General features: G+C 36.7%; 1 annotated feature.

Annotated features, from left to right (window-relative positions):
- Positions 5,723-6,922: an enhancer, noted in NCBI's record as "BRD4-independent group 4 enhancer chr4:104176632-104177831 (GRCh37/hg19 assembly coordinates)". NCBI's record gives its function as "activates an origin of replication core promoter dependent on BRD2, P300/CBP, MED14 and CDK7 cofactors, and independent of BRD4, by STARR-seq in HCT116 cells {active_cell/tissue: HCT116}" and the evidence as "EXISTENCE:reporter gene assay evidence [ECO:0000049][PMID:35650434]".

Here is a 10,509-nt window from a genome sequence, read left to right as displayed (position 1 = left end):
ATTAGATCTATCTCTAAATCTTTCAGAGCAGCAGTATTGAAAGTCAATAATAATATTCATTACAGGTTGCTGTAGAGATTCACAAAAGAAGAAAGGAGTAAAAGAAACCTGAAACCATTTTCAGTTACAAATTCTGGATATAAATTGAGTGAGTCTCAGGTGACAAGTGCTGTGAAAACACAAAACCTAATATGACACATAATCTCTGTGCTCAATTTAAAATTCAGAGAAATAAAAACAAACCACATAAAAAGCAAGTGATTAATATGAGAGTGCAATTATGTTAAATGTAAATATTGTGCTAGTGACTCTAAGCAAAGGTCAGCAAACAAAACAGGTTTCTAGCTTTCACTCTTCTTGAAAAGCAGAGAATTACCTGAAGACTCTATTTGGGGTTATGATGTATGAAAGATGAGAGCAGAATTCTGAAAAATTGGGAAGTAGAAAACCACAAAGAATTATTTCAAGAGAATACAAAATAGAATCACAGGGCCAATTATTAATCACAGGAGGTAGCCAGAAAGGGGCACAAAAACAATTATCATAAGCTGACTGGCTTGAAACACCAGAGTACTGCAAACATCCAAGAAGAGCTCCCAACTTCAAGTAAGGTATTTTAAATGTACTGCTAAACACATACAAATTAAGTCTATGAAGGAAATTTTGGTTGAAATAAGTAAATAGCAATAAAAGTGAGTGAGGAGAGTGCCAAATGTAATGGAAGTTTGTCCTGTTAAAAGCACTGTAAGAAATATTCCCCCTTACTCTTTAATTTTGCTACTTACTATGGTGTTTTACATTAATATTTTTAGATAAATATAAAAATTTGTGTTTTATGTAAAGTACTGATGAATAAGACTAAAATAGCAACCATCCATTCAAGACAACCTGCTTCATTCAAGTAAAACCTTCAATGTTATTACTGCAAAGCAAAATGTAACCACATGCACTACAAAGATATGTATATGAGTATAGACTTTATATTAAAACAGTGAATGACCTGCTATATACTTTATTTTTGCTATTTACTGCCACAATTCAATCCAACAGAGATTTATTGAGAATTCATTATGGGCCAGGTATTGTGTTAGATACGGAGGTGTAGAGATAAACCAACAAATTAATATGGAGCTTCTAAATTCTCTAGCATCAGTTTTCATCCCATGATTTTCCACACCCACCTTTTTACATTTCATTCAACTGAAACCACATTTAATCCAATATAAAGTAACCTAATAAAAAGCATTTGAAGATGCTTATCTCAGTTTAGATGTGATCTGAATATTTTTCAATTTCAGTGAAACAAGCAAAATAACCCAAATATAAAATACAAACTAAAGTATTGCAAGTTTTACTACCATATTGCATCTTACACAAATAATCATCCTCTTTAAGCTTTCTTCTTTTAAACTCTTTCTCTAACATACACACGTATATACATACACACACATACACACAACTTTAATCTACATTTAATTTTTTAGACATAATCATTCTGAACTAATTAGCTACACATAATCTCAGCACTTTCATTGGTCATTTAAATTATTTTAAACCTAAAATCATGATATCATAAAATGGATATAAAGGATGAATAGGGACAACCCAATGCTTTTGCAGGTAAAAAACGTCAAGTAATTTGGGCTCATTCACATGACCAGCTGTTTGCAGAGTCAGGGTTCTTCTTGCTCTTATTCCAATTCTCTTTCCACTAGCTACAATGTCTCCCTGTACACATTTTGGTGTACGCTCATCCTGGTTTCTCCACTCTTGATATCATTTCTGAGAATACTGGCATACTTGCTATAAGCCACATAAAACATTACTATATTAATTACTTTATAGTGGCACTTCCTATATTACACCAAAAGATTAAAAATATCTACAGAGAAACCAACAATATCCCCAGACTTTAATCATAGCAATTATTAAATGTCTTGCATTATCCATTGATAAAGACTTTTATTTTGCAAATGGCGTTTTAGTTTCTTTCTTTCTAATAGTCCAAAAGCAGTTGTAGCTACAATTTAGCACACTTTTCACTGATGTACCACTTCAGTCCTTTCAGAAATCTTAGCCCATAAAACTTTTTTCTAAAATATTAGCATGAAAATTCTAAGGACAGATTAACCACTCACCATAAAAGACAAACCTGATAAAATACTAGAAAACCCAGCCAGGTGCGGTGGCTCACGCCTGTAATCCCAGCACTTTAGGAGGCCGAGGCGGGCAGATCACGAAGTCAGGAGATCAAGACCATCCTGGTTAACATGGTGAAAACCTGTCTCTACTAAAAGTACAAAAAATTAGCTGGACGTGGTAGCATGCGCCTGTAGTCCCAGCTACTCGGGAAGCTGGGACAGGAGAATCGCTTGAACCCAGGAGGCGGAGGTTGCAGTGAGCAGACGTCATGCCACTGCACTCCAGCCTGGGTGACGGAGTGAGACTCCATCTCAAAAAGAAAAAAAAAAACTAAAAAACCCAAGTGTACTTTCTAAATGTGTAATATATTCAAATATTCTCCAATATATAAGAGAAAAATTTCATTCAATAAGTACTTATTGAATGCACACATTTTACATGTTATGTCATGAATTTTAAAGTCAAATCTATGCATCTATAGTCATTTAGCATATGAACTTTAAGTATCCATTCAAAATTGATGAAATAGGAAACAGAAAAACAGTAAAACCGATATATAAATTAAAATCTGCTACTTGGATACATTTCTAAAATAGAAAATGATTTAATAAAAATGAAAGAGCATAAATACACAAAATAAGAAATGACAAAGGCCAAATAACCATATAAATCAATTTTAGTTTTGAAAACTGTATTATGAAACTATACTCAAATACATTTTAAAACTTGAGTGAAATGGAAAATTTTCTAGTGATTACAATGTAACACAACTAACAGAAGAAAAAAGAAATGTAAAACTGTAAACAAGCCAATTACCATCAAAAAAGAAAACAGAAAGAAAGATAAAAGAGCTACTCCATAAAGAGCACCAGACTCAGATGTTTCTGGGGAGAGTTCTACGCAATATTTTTAGATCACACAATTCTAGTGTTATTTAAACTGTTTCAGAGCATATATAAAAGAGAGAAAAAAACAAATTCAATTTAAAGATGCTGGGCTAATACTGATACCTTAAGTTACAAAGTTCACACAAGAATAAAAAAACTGCAAACTAATATCACTTATGATTATCAATGCAAAAATTATACATAATGTATTGGCAAATGTCATCCAGTAGCACACTGAAAGGAAAACACAGGATGACCAAGTAAGTTTATTCCAGGAATGCAAAAATTGTTCAATATCACGAAATCCTAATAGCTCAAAGGAGAGAAAATCATACAATTATCTCCACAGATATAGAAAATGCATTTAGCATAGTTTAGCAGCAATTCTCAATTTTAAAAAAGAAGAAAATAGTTAATAAAACAGGACTCAGTGGATGCTTTTTTAATATGATCTTACCCTTGATGGAAGAACATTAGATGAATTTTTACATAAGGTTCTCTGCTTACTATTACCATTGCTGTTTAATATTTCAAGGGATTAGATAGGTGATTAGATATGCATTGTAAAAAACACCTACCAACACCAAGGAGGACAATGAGCTGGACACAGGACAGAGAATTCTATATGCCAAAAGGAGAGTTAGAAGGCCATTGCAATAACCCAGGTATAAAAGCACAAGTGCCTGAACTAATGTAGTGAAAATTGGAATAGAGAGCCACAAGCTTTAAAATTATACATGGTCAATTCAGTAAAACTTAATTGTTGATGGAATAAAAGAGATTAGTCCCAGATACTTGGGCTAGTTGACACATCATACAGTTACTGACTAAGATAGAGAACACAGGAGGATATTTGTATGAGAAAATTCCTTCAATCTTTAAAAACTTGAGTTAGAAGAAATAGTGAAAATCAATGAGGGACCATCTACTACATAGTTGGATATTCGGGTTTGGGAAAAAATTCAACACAAGAACTCTTGATTTCTCTATCATGTTTCTATCTAACCCTCACAACAAGTTCATGAGATCAGTATTATTATCCTAACTTTACAAATAAGCAACAAATCAATAAATTACAGGAAAAAAAAAGAAGACCTGGGGTTTTAAAACTCTGTCTCAGTATACTGCCTCTAAGACAGAAGTATGATATAGAAAGAAACTAACAAAGATGATGTCTAATCATATACAGAAGGAAACAAGAGAAAAGAACATCAATGAAAATAAAAACAGGGACTCAAGGGTTGATATATCAATCACACTAACTTATAGTTGCATGTGTACATGAAATGTTCGTGAAGTACTTTTACATGTATTACAAAAATCTCAGGTATCATCATTTCTCCCTTACAGCATTAGAAAACTTTAGGGCATACTAGTAAGTCACACTCCCGACAAACTCTACTGCCATTATGTTAAGATTTATTTTTGACACCCTTTCTGATGTTCTTTCTACTTCTACTAAGGTATGGTACCACTACATAGCAGTATATGGACTAAGCACTATTAAAATCTTACTAAAAATAACTCAAAATTTTGACAAAAGAAACTAAGTGACTCCCATTAGTTAGATTATTGAGATATTACTGAATAAGACTTATCATGAAGATGACAATAATTATTTTCAAAACTTTGATAGAGAAGTAATTGCTCTGAAGTGAGTCAGGCAAAACATATAACCATATTGGATGTGGACTTGTTTCTGCTGATTCACTGTGAGAAACAACATAGTCAGAATTTAACTAGAGCAACCTTGAAGCACTACTTAGGAAACTTAGGTGGTTTGAGGGCACACGTAGTATTTCTCCTTCTGCTTCTATTAAAGATCATGATTTTGGAAATAAAAACTCAACAGTGGCTACATAGATATGATACAAGAATAAAACTTATTGATTCATAAGCCTTACTGTGCCAATCTAGTGGAGAGCATTTAGATGAGAAAGAAGAAAGAAAGAAAGAAAGAAAGAAAGAAAGAAAGAAAGAAAGAAAGAAAGAAAGAAAGAAGAAAAGAAAGAAGGAAAGAAAGAAAGAAAGAAATAATGTTATTACAGATTCAGATTTCCACGTAGAAAACAGGAATGAATCATCCCTAACACAGGTGACAAATTCAGCACAGGCAAGAGATGGTAGTGATAAGGAGTTTCGATTATCTGAATATCTGCTAGAACTCAAATCTTGCTTTTGAAAAAACTGCCTTAGATATATTCTAGTCTTCTCTCCCTCTTTTATTTTTATTTTTTGGTCATCACTTCTTCCCTTTCTGATAATATCCTCATGCTTCCCTTTCTGATAATATCCTCATGCACAAGCCTGAAGAAACATATTTAACTGCTATTTTAACATGTTATTTTGGACTAGTTTGTAATATGAGCAGGATAGAAATTTAAATAGGAAATTACCTCTTCTAATAGCAGAAGAAATACTAGACATAGTCAAACAGCAAATTTAAAATGTATTGAGAAAGGAGAGAAAAATATTATGATCTCAAAGTTTTTAACACAAATGATACAGAAGTGACATAAAATCTGAAGATAGCTCTCAAAAGACTAAAGCCAAGACCATGCTGAAATTGTGGAAAACCTAAAAACAAGTGAGACATTTTAATCTAATTTCAGGGAAGCAATGAACAAGCAATGCCTATTTCTCTGCTAGAGGTAGATAATGAAAAGTTAATGGATGATAAAGAGATGGCAGAATGATCCATTAAGCATATTCATTTTCATTTTCTCCAAGAAGTACAATCTTTATGAATATGTTACCCTAAAGCTTGCCTGAGCTGTTCAGATATCACCACAAATTCTAAACAATCCTGGAGGGTCAATGGGGCAAGATACTCTCCAATGAAGAGCAAGTACTAAACATTCCATTTAATTCATAAATATTTCAGTGTATGTCTAAAAGAAAAGGATTCTTTTTATTTAAAAAATTATCACTCTTTTAAACATTAACAATTATTTTATATGAAAAACAGTATGGAGATTTCTCAAAGAACTAAAAGTAGATCTACCATTCAATTCAACATCCCACTACCGGGTATCTACCCAAAGGAAAAGAATTCACTATATCAAAAAGATACCTGCGAGGAGGAGCCAAGATGGCCGAATAGGAACAGTTCCGGTCTACAGCTTCCAGCGTGGGCGACGCAGAAGACGGTGATTTCTGCATTTCCATCTGAGGTACGGGGTTCATCTCACTAGGGAGTGCCAGACAGTGGGCGCAGGTCAGTGGGTGCGCGCACCATGCGCGAGCCGAAGCAGGGTGAGGCATTGCCTCACTTGGGAAGCGCAAGGGGTCAGGGAGTTCCCTTTCTGAGTCAAAGAAAGGGGTGACGGATGGCACCTGGAAAATCGGGTCACTCCCACCCGAATACTGCGCTTTTCCGACTGGCTTAAAAAATGGCGCTCCACGAGATTATATCCCACACCTGGCTCGGAGGGTCCTACGCCCACAGAGTCTCGTTGATTGCTAGCACAGCAGTCTGAGATCAAACTGCAAGGCGGCAGCGAGGCTGGGGGAGGGGCACCCGCCATTGCCCAGGCTTGATTAGGTAAACAAAGCAGCCGGGAAGCTCGAACTGGGTGGAGCCCACCACAGCTCAAGGAGGCCTGCTTGCCTCTGTAGGCTCCACCTCTGGGGGCAGGGCACAGACAAACAAAAAGACAGCAGTAACCTCTGCAGACTTAAATATCCCTGTCTGACAGCTTTGAAGAGAGCAGTGGCTCTCCCAGCACGCAGCTGGAGATCTGAGAATAGGCAGACTGCCTCCTCAAGTGGGTCCCTGACCCCTGACCCCCGAGCAGCCTAAATGGGAGGCACCCCCCAGCAGGGACAAACTGACACCTCACACAGCAGGGTATTCCAACAGACCTGCAGCTGAGGGTCCTCTCTGTTAGAAGGAAAACTAACAAACAGAAAGGACATCCACACCAAAAACCCATCTGTACATTACCATCATCAAAGACCAAAAGTAGATAAAACCACAAAGATGGGGAAAAAACAGAACAGAAAAACTGGAAACTCTAAAAAGCAGAGCACCCCTCCTCCTCCAAAGGAACGCAGTTCCTCACCAGCAATGGAACAAAGCTGGATGGAGAATGACTTTGACGAGCTGAGAGAAGGCTTCAGACGATCAAATTACTCTGAGCTACGGGAGGACATTCAAACCAAAGGCAAAGAAGTTGAAAACATTGAAAAAAATTTAGAAGAATGTATAACTAGAATAACCAATACAGAGAAGTGTTTAAGGAGCTGATGGAGCTGAAAACCAAGGTGCGAGAACTACGTGAAGAATGCAGAAGCCTCAGGAGCCGATGCGATCAACTGGAAGAAAGGGTATCAGCAATGGAAGATGAAATGAATGAAATGAAGCGAGAAGGGAAGTTTAGAGAAAAAAGAATAAAAAGAAATAAGCAAAGCCTCCAAGAAATACGGGACTATGTGAAAAGACCAAATATACGTCTGATTGGTTTACCTGAAAGTGATGGGGAGAATGGAATCAAGTTGGAAAACACTCTGCAGGATATTATCCAGGAGAACTTCCCCAATCTAGCAAGGCAGGCCAACATTCAGATTCAGGAAATACAGAGAACGCCACAAAGATACTCCTCGAGAAGAGCAACTCCAAGACACATAATTGTCAGATTCACCAAAGCTGAAATGAAGGAAAAAATGTTAAGGGCAGCCAGAGAGAAAGGTCAGGCTACCCACAAAGGGAAGCCCATCAGACTAACAGCAGACCTCTCGGCAGAAACCCTACAAGCCAGAAGAGAGTGGGGGCCAATATTCAACATTCTTGAAGAAAAGAATTTTCAACCTAGAATTTCATATCCAGCCAAACTAAGCTTCATAAGTGAAGGAGAAATAAAATACTTTACAGACAAGCAAATGCTGAGAGATTTTGTCACCACCAGGCCTGCCTTACAAGACCTCCTGAAGGAAGCACTAAACATGGAAAGGAACAACCAGTACCAGCTGCTGCAAAATCATGCCAAAGTGTAAAGACCATCGAGACTAGGAAGAAACTGCATCAACTAACAAGCAAAATAACCAATTAACATCATAATGACAGGATCAAATTCACACATAAGAATACTAACTTTAAATGTCAATGGACTAAATGCTCCAATTAAAAGACACAGACTGGCAAATTGGATAAAGAGTCAAGACCCATCAGTGTGCTGTATTCAGGAAACCCATCTCACGTGCAGAGACACACATAGGCTCAAAATAAAAGGATGGAGGAAGATCTACCAAGTCAATGAAAAACAAAAAAAGGCAGGGGTTGCAATCCTAGTCTCTGATAAAACAGACTTTAAACCAACAAAGATCAAAAGAGACAAAGAAGGCCATTACATAATGGTAAAGGGATCAATTCAACAAGAAGAGCTAACTATCCTAAATATATATGCACCCAATACAGGAGCACCCAGATTCATAAAGCAAGTCCTGAGTGACCTACAAAGAGACTTAGACTCCCACACAATAATAATGGGAGACTTTAACACCCCACTGTCAACATTAGACAGATCAACGAGACAGAAAGTCAACAAGGATACCCAGGAATTGAACTCAGCTCTGCACCAAGTGGACCTAATAGAAATCTACAGAACTCTCCACCCCAAATCAACAGAATATACATTTTTTTCAGCACCACACCACACCTATTGCAAAATTGACCACATACTGGGAAGTAAAGCTCTCCTCAGCAAATGTAAAAGAACAGAAATTATAACAAACTATCTCTCAGACCACAGTGCAATCAAACTAGAACTCAGGATTAAGAATCTCACTCAAAACCACTCAACTACATGGAAACTGAACAACCTGCTCCTGAATGACTACTGGGTACATAACAAAATGAAGGCAGAAATAAAGATGTTCTTTGAAACCAATGAGAACAAAGACACAACATACCAGAATCTCTGGGACACATTCAAAGCAGTGTGTAGAGGGAAATTTATAGCACTAAATGCCCACAAGAGAAAGCAGGAAAGATCCAAAATTGACACCCTAACATCACAATTCAAAGAACTAGAAAAGCAAGAGCAAACACATTCAAAAGCTAGCAGAAGGTGAGAAATAACTAAAATCAGAGCAGAACTGAAGGAAATAGAGACACAAAAAACCCTTCAAAAAATTAATGAATCCAGGAGCTGGTTTTTTGAAAGGATCAACAAAATTGATAGACTGCTAGCAAGACTAATAAAGAAAAAAAGAGAGAAGAATCAAATAGACACAATAAAAAATGATAAAGGGGATATCACCACCGATCCCACAGAAATACAAACTACCATCAGAGAATACTACAAACACCTCTACGCAAATAAACTAGAAAATCTAGAAGAAATGGATAAATTCCTGGACACATACACTCTCCCAAGACTAAACCAGGAAGAAGTTGAATCTCTGAATAGACCAATAACAGGATCTGAAATTGTGGCAATAATCAATAGCTTACCAACAAAAAAGAGTCCAGGACCAGATGGATTCACAGCGGATTTCTACCAGAGGCACAAGGAGGAACTGGTACCATTCCTTCTGAAACTATTCCAATCAATAGAAAAAGAGGGAATCCTCCCTAACTCATTTTATGAGGCCAGCATCATTCTGATACCAAAGCCAGGCAGAGACACAACAAAAAAAGAGAATTTTAGACCAATATCCTTGATGAACATTGATGCAAAAATCCTCAATAAAATACTGGCAAACCGAATCCAGCAGCACATCAAAAAGCTTATCCACCATGATCAAGTGGGCTTCATCCCTGGGATGCAAGGCTGGATCCATATAAGCAAATGAATAAATGTAATCCAGCATATAATCAGAGCCAAAGACAAAAACCACATGATTATCTCAATAGATGCAGAAAAAGCCTTTGACAAAATTCAACAGCCCTTCATGCTAAAAACTCTCAATAAATTAGGTATTGATGGGATGTATTTCAAAATAATAAGAGCTATCTATGACAAACCCACAGCCAATATCATATTGAATGGTCAAAAACTGGAAGCATTCCCTTTGAAAACTGGCACAAGACAGGGATGCCCTCTCTCAACACTCCTATTCAACATAGTGTTGGAAGTTCTGGCCAGGGCAATTAGGCAGGAGAAAGAAATAAAGGGTATTCAATTAGGAAAAGAGGAAGTCAAATTGTCCCTGTTTGCAGACGACATGATTGTATATCTAGAAAACCCCATTGTCTCAGCCCAAAATCTCCTTAAGCTGATAAGCAACTTCAGCAAAGTCTCAGGATACAAAATCAATGTACAAAAATCACAAGCATTCTTATACACCAATAACAGACAAACAGAGCCAAATCATGAGTGAACTCCCATTCACAATTGCTTCAAAGAGAATAAAATACCTAGGAATCCAACTTACAAGGGATGTGAAGGACCTCTTCAAGGAGAACTATAAACCACTGCTCAAGGAAATAAAAGAGGATACAAACAAATGGCAGAACATTCCATGCTCATTGGTAGGA

The sequence above is a fragment of the Homo sapiens genome, chromosome 4, assembly GCF_000001405.40.
Source record: "Homo sapiens chromosome 4, GRCh38.p14 Primary Assembly".
Taxonomy (NCBI): Eukaryota; Metazoa; Chordata; class Mammalia; order Primates; family Hominidae; genus Homo; species Homo sapiens.
The sequence above is the reverse complement of the archived record's forward strand: the minus strand, read 5'-3'. Positions and strand labels throughout refer to the sequence as shown.